The sequence below is a fragment of the Homo sapiens genome, chromosome 18 (genome assembly GCF_000001405.40).
Source record: "Homo sapiens chromosome 18, GRCh38.p14 Primary Assembly".
In the NCBI taxonomy this organism is placed as follows: Eukaryota; Metazoa; Chordata; class Mammalia; order Primates; family Hominidae; genus Homo; species Homo sapiens.
The window spans coordinates 45587576-45605407 of record NC_000018.10 but is presented as its reverse complement, the minus strand read 5'-3'; the positions used below and the strand labels follow the sequence as shown (position 1 = coordinate 45605407).

The 17832-nt window shown below is 45.3% G+C and overlaps 1 protein-coding gene across 5 annotated transcripts in view, besides 1 other annotated feature; it reads right to left on the bottom strand.

Moving 5' to 3' along the window:
• The window catches only part of SLC14A2 (solute carrier family 14 member 2), a 515726-nt gene that overhangs the window by 78281 nt on the left and 419613 nt on the right, over positions 1-17832 (bottom strand). The gene's annotated exons all lie outside the window — the stretch shown is intronic.
• Positions 14644-17026: an enhancer, noted in NCBI's record as "VISTA enhancer hs1440". NCBI's record gives its function as "enhancer in: hindbrain (rhombencephalon)[4/5] | limb[5/5] | branchial arch[4/5] | other[5/5]" and the evidence as "EXISTENCE:transgenic organism evidence [ECO:0001131][PMID:17130149]".

Genomic DNA, 17832 nt, shown 5'->3' with positions numbered 1-17832 from the left:
GGCATCTTCACCCTCTTCTCCAGAGGGGGTTATATTTTAAGGTGAACTAAAACCAGTGGTCCCCAAAGTGGGGAGTTTGCCCTGAGGGGTACATGAGACAGTCCATCAGTGCATGGGTAGAAAATATTAGAACTTTTATGTATATTTTTATTCAGAGGTTAAGAAGGAAATCAAGCTTTACTAGCCTGGCTAGGATTGTCTTTCAAGTTGTTACCTGTCACATGTGGTCCTTGTCTACCGTGCGTGAAGATCAGCATTGCAAAGTTAAGATGCTGGTGGTTGCTCATGCAGGCCCTGGAGCCAGACTGCCTTGATTAGTGCTTCCTATTGGTTATCAATATTGTATTATGATGATGATCACTGCGGGGAAGAGTGGAAGCCTCATTGTGCAGAAGGATGTACACAAAATTGACACTCATATTAATCAGAGTCTTGCAAAGAAGACTAATAGAAGCCCAAATAATTTATACAAAAATGGTAGGGCTATTGGTTCCTTTGTTCTGATTGTGAGCTCATCACCACCTACACTGTAAAAGTAAAGGCAATGATAATCTAATCAGCCACGATGAGATTAGGCCCTCCAAAATGCCAAAACTGTGAAGTCTACTTTAAACAAGGATTTACATTCATTGACATTAAAGATGACCCTCACCTAAGTGTGCATTGTGCCTTGACATATTAGCTGATGTATGTACACATATGTAATTTATATTTAAAGAAACATATTGGGGGTGACTGCCCAAAAATATTTTTCTAATGGAATTGCACAGTAAAGAAATTTGGAGACCACTGAAGTAGGCACATGCTTGGTTCTGACTGTGCAGAGTTTCACTAGACCCCATATGTATCCTCTGATATAACATAAGAATGTGGACCTGTTTGTTACTGATGTTCCTGATGCATTTATAAAGCAGAGTTGTTTCTCTGCGCTATATTTTCAATGGGTTTTAAAGGAGTAGACTGCATGATTTGGAGTATTTTAACTGCAAAATCATTTGATCTGGATATTGTCAGATATTTACTTAGAATTTTAAAATGGTAAATATTATGTACCATACAAAGTTATGCTGCTGATAGGAGGCTATGGTAACATGCCTCCACATGATGGTGAATGGCTTCCTGACATTAGGATTAACTGGATCTCACACCAATTTCATCATTTAGAACGCAGTGAGAAATGACTTTTTTGCATCATATTCATTCTTGAAGTAATTTGTTTACCCCAGCCATCAAAACTCAGTCAATAAACCACGGGGATTGACAAAATGGCACTACATAGGCAACAGAGAAAAATTGGAAAAGTGAATTATAGGTGTGAGTGACTAGTAATAAATAATCAGCTTATTCCTGTTGCAGAAGTGTCTGTGACCAGGAGAAAATCTGACCAATGGAAAATTTGAATCCAACGAAAGTGAGCCACTTAATTATGTATGAAGACATTTGAAAGTAAATATGTTCTGGTTCTCTAAGTAAGACTGTTCTTCAAATACATAGTTTTGTTAAAAGCATGTCTTCTGACTCTTAGACCCTCTCCAGTTACCTGGCATCTGAAATTATGCCATTAGTGACTCACTCCTTTGGGGTAAGCACAGACCACTTCAGGTATCTTCTTTTGAAAAACAAGCACCCCTGGTAAGAATTAGCACATCAAGTCAATGACTCTTTAGGGTGACTTAGTCTATTAGATGATTCCTCCACTGGGAGAGCTCTGGCACACTGTTAGGATTCTGGGCATCCTGGGAGGGGCTGTATGAGAGGGGATGAGAGCCGAGGGTTGAAAAAGAGTAAAGGCAGAGGGAGGAGAATAGAAAAGGCTAGTTATAATGGTTTCAGTTTTGACGAAGAAATACCCTGATTGTAACCCTAGAGACTACATCAACCACTGAATTTATCATAACTCTCTGGTCTTGGGTAGGACTCACATCTTTCAGAATTAATTCAATGTAATACACTATTCAAGAGACCCCAATAAATACAGTGAACTCTCAGTTTTCAGTGACTCTGTCATCTGCTTGTTGATTGTCAATGGTTAATCTAGGACAAAGATCAGACCACTCTCTGGGAAACCACACGCATGTTCTTATCAATTATGGACCAACAAGAGACAGGAAGAGCAAATTTCTAGAAAGAATAGAAAAATGCTCTTCAAAGCACAAAATTGCTGTGATTGGGGATCACCTGTTGTACACTTACCAGGATTCCATTTCTCACTGTTGTGAATGATTGAGCAGTGGTCATTCTGATGGAATCTTTGTGATGATTCATTTGTGATGTTCCCCTCCCTGCTTGTTCAGCAAGCTGACACATCTGCTCAATACCACTCTATCCCAACAACTGATTGATTCAGTAGATTCAGTGAAAAAAAAGCAAAATTGTTTGACAAAATGTACTTTTTTGATAGAATCTATCAGTCAGTTGCTAACTAAATTGATGGGTTATTTTTATCTTGATTTTTTATTTTTGTTTTTGGAAATAACAAGTTAGCTAACTAAAAAGACCAGGTGTCTAATCGACTTGGCTGGTTGTGCTGACAGATATTTGAGATGACATCAATTGGCTAAACTGATGGGAATTTGAATGAGTTCAGTCAAAATGTTTGAATCCATCAGCGGGGAGTGTTTGCTTTGAAGAAAGCACACAAGTGTCTGCATTTTACCACAAGGAAGCAGAAGGCTTTTGGCCTTAAGATACAAAAAGAGGAGAATTCTTTGAAAGAGCCTGAGTGAAATTTTGTATCTTCTGATCTCTTGCAAGGGTCTGAGTTTTTCAAGGAAAGACCAACTTCTTTGCCCCATCACAGTCATGTTTCAAGTCTCTGCAGAGGGTAGAGCAGCTGAAGTGAGTATGGGGGTGAAAGTGTTTTTCACATCACACCAAAGACCCCTATGCTAACTCCACCCTTGGGGTGAGGCCAGAGCTCATCCATGGAAAAGCCACACAGTAGGTGAAGTGGCTTTTCAGTTTTCTGTAATCTTTGCTCCTGCCTCCTTGCCCTGCTTCAAATTCCTTTTTAGATCTTCTTCCACCTTCATTAGGGTATCCAGTGCCCTCATTCTATCCCTCTCCAGGGCAGATATCCAATCTCCATAAGGAATGAGTGACAAATCACTCTGCTCACTAACCCTCTCCAAGAGAGATGACATTTTCATTAAGGACTGACATTAGTTGAATACCTATTGTGTATTAGACACTGTGCTGGGCACTTCACACACACTATCTCCTTTAATGTTCATATCTATTTACCATTGTATGGCTCATCCATGGCCTTTTGATATTTTATGAAATAAGCTTCTTTGACTGAGGTTTAGAACTGAAGGTCTGGTGGAGTTTGCATATTTTTGGCTTAATCTGGGAAGTGAATGAGTATTCCTAGAGTGGGACTTGGATCCCAGAAAGAAGGAGACCCCTGGGCATCATGCACAACCGTACATGCCCTCACCCGACAGAATGGCCAATGCCAAAGGCTCTGACCATTCACATCTTTCAGCCAGTCCTGCCTAAGCAGATGCTTCCTGGATAAGACCAAAGAAAATGCTTGCAATCTTGTCCAAGGAAGTGTAAGTCACCATAGTTCAGCTGAAAAGACTTAAAGATTGAGGATCACCATGGTGTTGCTTCATCATGCTACAGACTTGGAGTCCCTTCAAGTCAATGCTTATTAATGGGCCAGTCTGATCAATTGATTTCAGAAAAAAGCATTGTCAGAATTTTCCTCAATGATGTTCATTTAGAAAACATTGGTTAGGCTCAGCTGGGAGATTCCTTCTGGGTCATGAATGGAGAGCACTAGCCAGTTGGACTGAAAAGATAGAGGGGAAAGAAAAACCCCATTGGAATTAAGATGACAAAGTCAAAGTAGTTGTACACAGACCCAGAAAATATTATAGCTCTGAGTGGTGAATGGATCCAACCTTGTCCCTTTCTTACTATGTGGCCATAGAACAATTCGATGGTAGAGCATGCACACTGTCCTCTTGGACATTCAGTCAGTTGCCCAGAGGGGTGGGGAAATGACTAGGAAAGGAGGAGATGACAGAGAGATCTGGGATCTGCTTAGTAAGGTTCTCCCACTAGACACTAAAGGCTTTGTTAGAATTGTACCTTTATGACCCCATGGGTTTTTCTCTGCAGCACCTCCATGTGGTAAGTTAGGATAAAGCTCAGAAAAGTAAAGTGACTTGCCAAGGTCATGAAGCCAGTTGGTAGCCAGTTAGAATGAAGCTGTAGGTTGGGCCGCGCATTCTCTTTTGTTTTTCCACCATACCATGTGGTGCAGCACTGATCATCCTGAGGGGAGGCAGTCAGGTTTGGTGGAATAAGGGACAGCCTAGGGAAGTGGTAAGGATGAGGCTCTGGAGGCAGATGACTGAGTTTGAGTCTTGGTCCCCCCTCCCATCCTATCCTACTTCACTGCATTATGACCCTGGGCAGAATACAGAGCATGAGTTCCCTCAAATGAGGATGGTCATAAAATTGACTCAGGGTTGGCTTCATGGACCTGCAACAAGTGCAATTTGCATATGGCCCTGTATAAACAGGGCTCTACAGTCACCATCTTGAAATTCACAATAATTCAAATATTTTCAATTATTTAAAAGCTTGAATTTGCGTTTTGTAAGGGAAGTCCAGTGGGACAATGGAGCACGAGCCACTAGATCTTCTGCTCACACTCAGTCCTACCTCCTGCTGCCTCCCTTGGTTCATGGTTCTTGAGTGCCTATTCCCCACCTCTTGGAGCCCAAGGACCTGCCCAGCCTCTTCCTCATTGCCCCCTACCCAGTGACTGCTGCTGCTCTCTGTGCAGAGGTGTGCACAGGTGAGGGTCAGAGTTGAGTGCATGTACCTTGCAGCATCTTAGCCCAATCCTGGTGCCAAGTGTATCCTGGCATCAAGATTACCATACCCTGAGGCTGCCTGTTCACTGTGTGTTGTGGTTGAGGTGGAGGGCCTGTGAGAAGAAGGGATGCCTGACTCAATTTCTCCACTCCTGGTTGGGTACAGCAGGTCAGTCTGATGGCTGGTGTGTGTGTTGGGGGGACCTGGTGGCCAGTGGGCCATTTGGGAGTACACTGAATTGCAGGATGGAACCCCTGGGTTCCCGTGATGGTCTTCACTCATCTAGCAAGTATTTTTGTGTCCCAAGCAGTATGACAATAAGTAGCAAATAAAAACACCATGAGAGGGAGGGAGAGAGAAAAAGAGCACTCGTGGAAGAAAGAAACAAGTTTTATATTTTAGTATCTTTAACTGCCTCTTATTTTCTCTGCTTTTTTAACAAGCGCCCTACATTTTCATTTTGCACCCATAAATCCTGTAGCTGGGTCTATATCTACCTCATGGGCTGTTGTGGGGATCAGATGAGCAAGTACCTGAGAAGGGCTCTGATATTGTTTGTCTGTGTCCCCACCCAAATCTCATCCTGAATTCCCATGTGTTGTGGGAGGGACCTGGTGACTCATGGGGGCAAGTCTTTCCCATGCTGTTCTTGTGATAGTGAATAAGTCTCACGAGATCTGATGGTTTATAAGGGGGAGTTTCCCTGCATGAGCTCTCTCTTTGCCTGCTGACATCCATGTAAGATGTGTCTTGCTCCTCGTCTTCTGCCATGATTGTGAGACTTCCCTAGCCACATGGAACTGTAAGTCCATTAAACCTCTTTCTTTTGTAAATTGCCCAGTCTCAGGTATATCTTTATCAGTAGTGTGAGAACAGACTAATACAGGCTCGGAACAGTGCCTGTTGCTCAGACACTGCTCAGTGTCCTCTTTACCCGTGTCCCTGCCGGAGGTGCAGAGTGGCTGGGTCATGCTCCCTGCACTCTGGAGAGAGACAGACACAATCATGTTCCATGGTAGGGTGTCCCTCCATTCACAAGCCCATCACAAAACAGAATTGTCTGCTCACTTCCTAAGTCCTGACTGACTTCTTTAAATTGGGCCAGGTAACAGAAAGGTAACTACTTTTGCAAGAGTCAGAGCAGGTCGCGGCCAGGACTGTCAGGCATCTCGCTGAACCTAACTGGAAGAAGAGCAAGGGGGATTGTCATATGGCCACATCCGCTGTGATTCAACTCATTGCCAGCAGGATAATGAATTCAAGAATCAGCTTCTGAAATGAACCCTTGATCAAGAGGGAGGCAGTAATTGTGCTGGTTATTAGCGATTACTCCTGGATGGGGGTTAGGGGTGTGAGCAATAGAATTAAATGAAATTCCTTTGAAAGTTCTGCTGTGCAAAGTAAGAGATATAAACGCTACATTATGTGTTTAAAATGCCTCCAGGGTTTGGTTTATAGACTTGTTTATATTTATATATTTATTTGAATGTTTATGACTTTCTCTCTGTCATTTTCACATTGGTATCTTCATACTCATCATGGTTTTATGGCCTCTTTTTGGAAACCAGTGGCTGCATATACCGGCACATGATTTGATGAGAGAAGAAGATTCAGAAAGAGAAAACGAGTTTAATATTATACTTGGGAGGAAGAGCCTTCCCTTGGGGTAAGAAAGTTAAAAATGAAGCAAGCGGTCTGCGTGCTTTAGTTAGAATATTGAGGAATTATTGCCTGAAGGCAGCTGAAAGATGCTCCTTAGAAAGATAAGGAAAGAGGAGCCTTGAGTGGTGGAGGGACTGATTGGAGGTCTCAGAGCGAATTGTTAGAAAGTCAGGACAAGAGTCCAGGTCCCTGATGCCCACCGCCAATGCAGACCCACCTCTTTTCCTTCCTAGACAGAAAGCCAACTTATCCACTGGGTACAGGAGGCACAATGCCTATAGCCCAAGATATTTTTAGGGGCCCATAAAAATGCCTTTTTAAAATCAGGAGAAAAAAATGCATACTATCTTGCTTGCATTATATTTATCTCAATACCAACACAGTCATAAAATATAATTTTTTTTATTTTTATGGAGGAAGGGACTTAAAAAGGAAAGCGTCTAGGACCCTCGCCAGTCATAATGCAGCGCCGTCCATGTAGCCCACCTAAGAAATTTGTAGGAGAAATGCTGGGGCCACTCTCCTGAGCAGACCCAAGCTGCAGTGCCATGTCATTTCTCCCTCCCCTTCTCCACTGCTTTGAAGCCCTCGGGTCTTGAATGTCTTTTTGTTTCTACAGAGAGATCATTTCAAACAGGGAACTGGAGCTTCTCGGTAATCTATTCTGATGGGTAAAATGAGACAGAGATAACCTACGTGGGCACAGACACGCTAACAGTCGGGGCTGGCTGGCTCCATTTTGACTAGAAGGCCCTTGAGGAGGTATTGGGCCTCGGGTCTCTACAGTACAGTACGTGTGAGCTGTAACTGTTGTGTGAATGTGTGGGTTGCCCATTTGTAGAAAGTCCCATTCAGTAAAATGCAAAATGTATTGGGAACCTCTGATTGGGTGTGTATGACTGGCCTGCACCTCCCCACAACCCATCCTCCCATGAGGCTCCCCAGTCTCAGTACAAGGGACTGTCACTTACCTGGTGGCTCAGGCCTCTTTCACACACCACACCTCAATGCACCAGCAATTCCTATTAATGCCACCTCTAAATTATATCTGGAATGTACTTTTTTCATCATCTTTACTGCTAAGTGACTGAGTCTAAGGCACCACCATCCCTCTCCTGGATTAGGTGAATAGGCTGCAGACCAGTCTCTCTGCATCCTCCTGTGCCTGCCCTCAGTCCATTTTCCACACAGCAGCCTAAGCGTTCCTTTGAATATGTAGCAGAGTCCCTCTCCTGCTCAAAACCTCTGCAGGGACCTCCCAGCTCACTCAGACACAAGCCAAAGTCCTTCCATGTCCTACTGGTCTCCATGACCTGCCCTCTGGCCACTTCTCTGATATCATCTTTTACCTCCTGCCTTCATCCCCCAACTTTCCAACCCTTTTAGTTACCGTTTTCCCCAAAACACTCACCACTACCTGACATTCTTGGGGAACTACCAGGTAGTCACTGGGATGAGGCCTTCCCTAGAGCAGGGTCTGTAACAAATGCCAAAATCAAATAATATTTACTGAATGGGTGGATAAAAGACTGTCACTGTAAACTCCATTTCTTTTCTTTCTTTCTTTCTTTCTTTTTTTTTTGAGATGGAGTTTCACTCTTGTTGCCCAGGCTGGAGTGCAGTAGCAGAATCTTGGCTCACTGCAACCTTTTCCTCCTGGGTTCAAGCAATTCTCCTGCCTCAGCTTCCCAAGTAGCTGGGACTACAGGCACACACCACCACGCCTGGCTAATTTTTGTATTTTTGGTAGAGATGGTGTTTACCATGTTTTACCATGTTGGCCAGGCTGGTCTCGAACTCCTGACCTCAAGTAATCCACCCGCCTCGGCCTCCCAACGTGCTGGCATGAGCCACCGTGCCCGGCTGCAACCAACCTTCTTTGGAGACTTGTCTGAGGTTTTGATGGGATTGGTTAATAGATGGCCCAAAGGCCATTTCTAGGGGATGGGACATCATAGAAGCACAGAGGCAGTAAAAGGGTCCAATGGTAGAGGAGGTAGGTGGGGGCTGAGTGGTGAGGAGTGCAGAGCAGCTGTGAAGGCAGTTTTTGTGTCATCTTGGTGAGGCCACAGTCCCCAGTTGATCAATTAAACACTGATCCAGGTGTTGGTATGGGAAGGTACTTTGTAGCTGTATTAAGTTTCATAATCTGTTGACTTTAAGAGCGATTACCTTCGATGATCTGGATGGGCCTGATATAATCAGTTGAAAAGCCTGAAAAGTAGCACCAAAGCTTTCTTGAGAAAATAGAAATTCTGCATGTGAACAATAGCTTCAGCTTTTGCCCAAGAGTTCCAGCTGCCCTTCCTGATGGGAACACGCACACCTGCCATGGTAGGAAGACTCTTGTCTCCCAGAGACACCCAAACCAACATAGCCCTACAGACCTCACTTTGTAAGTTATCCCCTTCTCTTGTTCAACTCCTGGGTAATTCCCATTGGGTTTCATATATCACAGGAAATGCCCATTCTGGCCATCTTCCTTCCCTTTTAATTGTAATATCTCCCTGTTCCCCAATAAGAGTTTGAAATATACCCACAGTGTTTTGAATGAAGATCGTGTTCTAGCTGCGCATGCCTCCATTAACCAAATTCAAGCTCAGGAGTCCTGGGGGTGAGATTAATTTTGTTCTAGGTAGCCGTGCCAATTTCCACTGCTTCCAATAGTATTTCAAACTTAGAGCACTTGGCAAGCCAGGCCTTTCCACATGGTTTACCCACATTAATTAATTTAGCCTTATGCCACTGTGGCAAGATAGGAGAGGGCAACTGGGGTACACAGGCAGAGTTTACAGGGAGACTAGAGAGGAGAGGTGCCTTGTGAACAGAGGAAGGGGAGGGTCTTTATGGAACAGATGCTTTCCTCCAGTCCGTACTGGGTGGTTTTCTTTTTCTTGGATGAAGTCCGTACCACTCAGCAGTAGGGCTCCAGGAAGCATGAGCAATGTGGGCCCTGTGACCTCATTTCTGCACTGCAGCTTCATGATTTGAGAGGGGGACCCTCCTCAATGAACACCCTGGGGGCAGCCAGCTGAGTCTGATGTTCGCTCCGAACATCAGAGTTTGAGTTGAACAAGGACGTTCAAGGCTTTGGAGTGTGTGGAAGTGAGGAAGCCGGGGAGCAGGGAAGAGGTCAAAGGCTGCCGCTGAGTACCTAGCACCTGCCAGGCCATGTCTGAGAGCATTTCTTGGTTCTAATCCTCACAGCAACCCTCCTAGGAAATAGAGGCTCTGCCTGGCATTACAGTCTTTGCTGTTTCAGGCACACATGGAAAGGAGAATCTAATTGCAAAGCTTGAAAGAGGCCACGAGACCTGGTGGAGAGTACACAATTTCTAGCCCCAACCATGTGACTTCAAGTAATTCACTTAATGCCTGCGTACCCCAGTTTACTTAATGGTTAAGTGGAAAGACAGTCTAAATGCAGTGGCAAAAGTGTGGGGTTTGAAGTAAGATTGCCTATATTTTAGCATCTTCCATGCTTCAGCTTAAAAAAAAAAAAACCCAGCAAAATGGGGAATACAAATCATGCCTACCTTACAGGGTTATTGATGAAATGAGATACTGCGTATAAACTGCTTAGCACAGGAGTGCAAAATAAATGTTAACTATCATTAATTCCTCACAGAGATGTTGTGAAGATCATTTTTCTAGCCCATTTTTACTGAGACCCTGCTTTTTGCGTAACATTAAGCTTAGTACTCTAACATGTATGCAAACACACAGAAAGGGTGTAAAGCATACTATTATTTTTATAATACAAGAAAACGGTTTTAAAAGGCAGTTGTGCAAGGAGGTGAAAATGCTGAGATGGTTGAGTAAATGAGATGGTTGGATTTCCGGGTGGTTAATGTGGAAAGGTTTCATGGCAGAGTGAATGTCTGGGTAGGGTTTGGAAAGAGGAAAGGATTACATTCCGGAGAAGGAAGCAGTCATTTCTGAAGGGGATGAAGTCTCACAGGGGTTGGGGGTCGGTGGGGAAGTTGTGCAGGTGTGGCATGCGTAGTTGCCTGGTGGGATTCTGTTCCGACCAGGGTGTGACGGCTGCTGGGGGTGGTGGAGCCAGGATAGTGATGAACCATGAAATCTGTGTGGGAGAATCTCACTTTGGTAACAAGACTTAGGCTCTAGAGTTCTGACTTGTTTCCAAGAGTTCCAGAGTTTAGAGCTAGAAGACATCTGGTTCAGCCTCCCATCTATCAGGCTAGAAAATAGTATCCCAATTTTTACAAGGAAGAGACAAGTAAGGTGCCATGAGCTGTGATGGGTCTAGTTTCTGGATGGTTGGACGGCTGTGCCCACTCTGCCTGGGTCTGCCCTGCTGTTCAGATGCCTTTTGTTCACAGAGGTAATGACCGGTCCAGGAGAGAAAGGAGAGGAGGGGATCAGAGAGAGAGGGACAAGCTGAACCTTTCAATCCTAACAGTCAAATGAAGATCAAAGAAAGCTTGGCAGGTGATCATTGAAGTTCACGGAGAAAACCTGCGGTGCCATTTTCTGACCAGATGAGTCTATGGGTTGTTCAAATTCTGCTTTCCCCAGACTCCATGCCCTGATTCCCTTGAACCTCACATCTAATGTCCAAGCATTCTTTGATGTGTCTTACACTTAAACATCCCATTGCTATAGTGCATTTCCTAATACTCTGCATCCTGGTACTGCGTGCTTGTGGTCCTTCTCAAATCCTCTGCTGTAGCAGTGACTAGTGTGTGCCATACAAATTAACCCTTCCCTCTTGTCCCCCAGCACCCTATGTCCCAAACCTTGCACTCTTGCAGTCTGTATCCTCCCAGCACCCTGTGCTCTAGTATTCAAGGTCCTCTCCTCATTCAAATCAAATTTTTAAAAAGTAAGCAGCACTAAACACCTCACTGGTTGAGAAACTCTGGCAGGTGCTATTTTGGGTTACCCACTGGCCTCTCCACTGGTCAGTTATAGTTACAGAAATTTTTACTGAAGGAGCTTAGGGGTGACGGTCTGGCCAGAAGTGGGGGAAAATGCTAATGTCTTAAGAGTTGTATTGTATATTTTTTACTTAGCTCGAATACTAGAGATCAATACAAATAGCATAGTTTTCTAAAAATCCTTTTATTCACCCTTTAGGTAAGATTAAGGAAATGCGGCAGGGCGCGGTGGCTCACACTGGTGGTTCCAGCACTTTGGGAGGCCGAGGTGGACGGATCAAGAGGTCAGGAGATCGAGACCATTCTGGCTAACACGGTGAAACCCCGTTTCTACTAAAAATACAAAAAATTAGCTGGGCGTGGTGGCAGGCACCTGTAGTCCCAGCAACTTGGGAGGCTGAGGCAGGAGAACGGCGTGAACCCGGGAGGCAGAGCTTGCAGTGAGCCGAGATCGTGCCACTGCACTCCAGCCTGGGCGACAGAGCAAGACTCCGTCTCAAAAAAAAAAAAAAAAAAAAAGATTAAGGAAATGCTTAGTTATCATATCTCAGAATGTCATTCTTGGGATTTCACTATTATTAATATTATTATTGTTTGGGGGTTTGTAGGAGATGATGGGAGAGCTCTAGCCTACGTCCCTTCGCACCAGCTCACACTGCCTCACATTGATGGCTCACTTTTTTTTTTGTGAGACGGAGTCTTGCTCTGTCGCCCAGGCTGGGGTGCCGTGGAGCGATCTCGGCTCACTGCAAGCTCCGCCTCCCGGGTTCACGCCATTCTCCTGCCTCAGCCTCCCGAGTAGCTGGGACTACAGGCGCCGCCACCACGCCCGGCTAATTTTTTCGTATTTTTAGTAGAGATGGGGTTTCACCATGTTAGCCAGGATGGTCTCGATCTCCTGACCTCATGATCCGCCTGCCTCGGCCTCCCAAAGTGCTGGGATTACAGGCGTGAGCCACGGCGCCCGGCCTCACATGTTATTTCTATTGGACAGCTCTGGTCTAGAACTTTGGATCTTTAGTTGTTTGACAACGCAGATTCCAAGGGATCCCCTTGGATTCCATCAGGTTGGAGAGCAAATCCAGAGAGTGTCTGATTTATTGTCAACAGTCATTCAGAGGAATAGCTTTACATTATTGCTCACCTACTCTTTGCCTTAAGAGTTAACAGAAGTTACAAGTACATAACCCAGACATGGGAGAGCAAGGATTTGGGCTTGGCTCTGCTGGACTTGAACTGTCTACTGGGTCTCCCAGGCCCTCATTAGGCCATGGTGCTTGGCTTCCCATTGCCAGAGACAGCCAGACAGAACAGGCCAGGGATCAAGTGCTGCCCCTTGCTGCTCTCAAATGCCTGTACCTTTTGGCTGTGCAAGGCATTCAGAGCTGGTAGGAATATAATACAGTGTGTTTTGGCTGTGAAGCAGAGCTCTGGGGACTAGACCACTGCCTTCTAGTCTTGAGTCTCAGGCAGCATGCTTGGCCACTATGGGAAACGAACTTTCCTGCATCTGCTTCCCAAGATGGGACTGGGAATGGGGCGCTTAGGGTTGTGTGGAAGCTATGTTTTTATGGCACTCAACCTCCAGGTGGAAATGCAACCAGTTCCATCTGATATCCTGATGCATGGTATTGGCAACAATGACATCAGAATACTGAGACATCCAGAGAGTTGGTGGATTTTTATTTATTATATAGGCTTCTATAGACTCATAGATTGGGGATGAGGAGGGAAGAGAGGTTGAAAAATCTAGTGTAATTTTCTCATTTTACATTAAAAAAAATGAAACAGAAAAGTTAAATAAAGGTTAAATATCTGCCCTAATTCTCCCAGCAAGAAGGTGGAAACTGCTATCGCTGGGCCAATTCCTCTTGGTAAGCAACCTTTCCCCCAGGATGGAAGGGAGGGATTTGATGCTGACTCTTCTTGACCCCAGTGATTACTGTATATATATTACTGCCCTGCCATGGGTATAGAGGTATTGGACTCTCTGTTCCTGTATCATCTGGCTATTGCATGCTGCTGAAGAGGTTAAAATCAAAAGGCTTCTCAGGGCTCCAAAAACTCTGCATGCTTCCCCATGTCTACCAGTGCCTGGCACTTGAAGCTTGGAAATCTAGTGGCTCTACTGATGGGTGGCAAATGGGCTAGCCTGGACCACAGCTGTGAAACTGATGAAATGTCTTTGGCTCTCCCAGGTCCCTTTTTCTGCATGTGTCTTCATTTCATGTACCCACAACTCTTAGTGTATAGTGGGGTCTCCTTTGGTGGAGAGAAGCAATCAGGTAAATAGCCTAGAGCCTTGCTACTCAAAAGTGTACTTTATGACCCAGCAGCAGCACTGGGTGCTTGTTAGAAATATTGTTATCTCGGCTGGGCGTGGTGGCTCATGCCTGTAATCCCAGCATTTTGGGAGGCCGAGGTGGGTGGATCACGAGGTCAGGAGTTCAAGACCAGCCTGGCCAAGATGGTGAAACCCTGTCTGTACTAAAAATACAAAAACATTAGCTGGGTGTGGTGGTGGGCACCTGTAATCCCAGCTATTTGGGAGGCTGAGGCAGAGAACTGCTTGAACCCGGGAGGCGGAAGTTGCAGTGAGCTGAGATCGCACCACTGCACTCCAGCCTGGGCAACAGAGCGAGACTCCATCTCAAAAAAACAAAACAAAACAAGAAATATTGTTATCTCAGACTCCTCCACAGACCTACTGAATGAGAATCTGCATTTGAACAGGACTGCTGGGGGTATGTGTATGCCCATTACAGTTGGAGAAGCATTGGCTTAGATTATTAGTAACAAGCTATTACCACCCTCAGGGATATTTGCATATCAGAAGAGTAAGGAGAGGGTAGGAAAACTTTAAATAAAAAAATACACCTCCAATGGGGGTGAGAAGAGGGAGAGTTAAGACCTCAGTGACTGACATGTGGTATTTAGGTCTGTGTGTTGGGGTGGGATTGGGAGTGGGGAGGGTGGTGGCAATTTGAGAGTTCAGACTCTGCAGCACCCATGCTGAGGTTCACATACTGGCTCAGTCACTCATGTTGGTTATGTGATCTTAGTCTGTTGTGAGACATTGGGCGACTTGCCTCAATTTTGTCATCTGCAAGATGGGGATAATATCATTACGTTGCAGGGTTGTTAGGATGAAGTGATTTAATCCATGTCTAGAGCAGTGCCTTAGAACAGTGCCTTAGCACACTGTAAGCACTCAATCAATGTCAGCTTTTACTCTGATAATTTTCTAGGCATGAAGCTGTCCCTGGCAGCTGGGTCAGAGATGCTGCCAACTGCAGGGTGTGACATTCCTACTTCAGGGCCTTTGCATGAATGGCAGGTGGGTCCTGATGTTCCTGTCTGCCCTTACATTCCAGGGGTCTGGACTTTAGACCCCTAGGGTGCCAAGACCTGGGAAAGGAGAGCCCCGCTTGGCTTTCTGCAAGACAAACTCTGTACACACACGTGAGCTCCTGCAATTGCCCATGTCCTGTGGCGGTTTCCAGAAAACAAAACCAATTCACCTCCAGAGACTCCTCACCCTGTTCTGTTTGAAAATAAACATGCAATAGTTTTACGATGTGAATTATAGTCCAGTGGGAAATGAACTAAGACTGTCCAACTTCTTTAGGATGGACCATTTCATAGCTGGGGGGAGTATGGGCCTGTGAGTTTATGCAAAAAACAATGTTGTCAGCAGCTCTGATCTGAGGCAAGGAGAGCCAGCACCCGCAGTGAAGCTCTCTATCTCATTTATCCAGGGAAGGGACATGCTTTGATGGAAAGAGCCAAACTGGGATTCAGGAACTCTGGGTTTTCAAACTGTTGGACCCTGGGCAAGTTACTCCCTCTTTCTCTCTCTGCCTTTGGCCTCTCAGCTAGAAGACAAGGTGGGGCAGAACCTAAATGTCTGCCAAAGAATTGCTGGAGTCTCATGCGCTCTGAAGCAAATCATCCCAGCAGCTAAAGTGGTCAAAATGAGATATTCACCCACTTGGGAGAGGAATGATGGCGACCACCTCATTTTCTGAGAAGAGCCAAACCTCAAGAAAGCCCAGTTCTGCTGGGGTCCTAAGGAGCTCTCACGCTCAGACACAGAAATTTGCAAGCTCCTCAGAATTCCTTACCTTTCTTTGCATTCTTTCTTCAATAGCGCCTCCCTCCTCCCCTCCCTGCCCCAGCCTTGCCACTTCCCTCTTCTTCAGCAAGTTAACCAAATTCTCTCTTCATGGACAGTTCAATGGAAAGTTAGTCTGAAACGACAGTATATCATATTTCATGAATTTAATAGGGTTTTCATGATTTTACAAAGTGCCTCCACCAGACACTCGCAGCTGGAGGCGGCTCAGCGGGAGGCTGAAGCCCTGCATCTGGGTTTTTCAACTCTTGCCAAAATCCATTGAATTTGATCCGGAATGACTATGAATCTTTGGAATGTACAGTCCCTTTTCTCTTGCCTTATCCAAATAAAAAAAGGGGAGTGGGGAGGGTGGTGCGGGGAAATGTCCTATGAGAATTCCATATGGAAACACTAAACGTGCATTATAAAGGATTTCCTATAAACAAAATCACAGTCAGAGATGTTGGCCCCTCACCATGTTGAAAACAAAGGGCCCTTGTGTGTGTGTTTGTGTGCACTTTAAGACATACACGTATATTCATTTGGGGTACCTTGCAGCCCCCCTTTCTCTCTCCAGCTTTTTTTCCTTTCCAGCTCCCCACCCCCAAAACTAGCCCCCAACTCTTAACAAGAACAAACTTTAATCGTTCTGTGCAGTAAATCCCCTACAAATAAATATCCAGGGCAACTTCAAACAGGCTTAATTGGAAGCACATGGGAAGAACTCCACAGTCCTGGCCGAGGCCGCCGAGTTGTAATTTAATGTTATGATCTGCCATAAATATGTGCCATAATGAGTGGAGTTTGGGTTTCCCTTCTGTGTATCAGAAAACTGCAGGTTTGAGTTTTTTCACATTTTTTCTCCTTTGCTCTCTTTGTTCAGTCATCAAACTTCACATTTAACACCCCCCCCCACCCACCAACCCCAAACAAAAAAAGACAACCACAATCTAAACAGACCTTCCTCTCCCTTTCACCTCTCCCTGTAACTCCCTTGCTTCAAACTGTGCATGACTGTACTGTCTTTCCCTTTGCTGTAAAAGAATTACGGTTTAGGGTTTATAGGGTTTTAGAAAAAATGTCTTCAATCACCAGAATGGGAGAAGTGAGGCTAAACCACCTCTGGGCCCTCTAATGCTTTTATCGTAGAATTGTAGCTGGAACAGGCTGGAGGAAACTGGGAAAGGTCACAAAATCAATCCCCCTGCCTGCACACTGCTTTATCCAAAGCCGTGAGGACCGTGGGTATCCCCATTCTCCTCAGAGATCACCAGAGAGGAGTTTTAGTAACACCCTCTGGCAGCTGCACCCTACCTCTAAGCTCACAACATAGGAAGTCTTTCACAGGGCCGATGGATGTCACATGACTTAAGGTCATTTCTCCTCATCCCATCCTTAGGGGTTGGAAGACATTCAGCTGTAGTCCTTTGGGATGACTTCATTAGGGAGAATGCCTCCAGCCATGTGGGTGGGAGAAACTCTTTTTATGAGACAGAATCCACTGCCAAGTCCCCTGTAAACAGAATTGTTACATATCAGGCCTGAAGGAGACTTCAGAGGCCATTCAGTCCAATTGCCCCTGAAGCTGGAGTCCTCTCAGCAGTGCCCCTGACTCACTGACCTCCAGCCTCGGCCCAGGACATCTCAGAAATTGGGAGCCCACCATTTCCCCAGCCAGTTCCTTCTATTTTCAGAGAGCCCTAGTGATCAGACATCTCTCTTTCCTGTTGGGCCCAGGTCCTCATTCTGCCTCTGGAGCTACATAGAAGAATTTGAATTCTTCTCTGAATGACAGTCTTTCCATGATCATCCTCACCTCAGCATTCCCCTTTTCAAGGATTAAAAAAAGGGTCAATCCGGCATTTTCAATCATCTCCCTGCTGCCCTAGCGCCCCCCTGCAACATATGGTCCAAACCACTAGGCAGAATCTTGGACTTTGTTTGTTCTAGTTATGAAATGGGGATAGCGGTGGCATCTGTTTCTGACTTCTAGGATGGCTATGAGGATTGCAATGAGATGAAGAGGTTTGTGCCCTCTGCGTTTTTTTCAACACCGATATAGCAGACCGTGAACTGGTGAGGGTGGGAGCTTCCACACATAGCTTCTTGGCCTCACTATCTTCACCTGCCTTTCCTAGCTGGGTGGTCTTAGGCCAGTCACTTCACCTTCCTGGGCATCAGTTTCTTTCTCTGGGAAATCAGAGAGCTGGATTAAGTGACTTCCAAGATCTCTTCTGGCTCAACAGCCTCATAAGGGCAGGTTTTGATGCCAACTCGTGCCTTGAAAGGTTCTGTATCTCAGATCCTGCTACC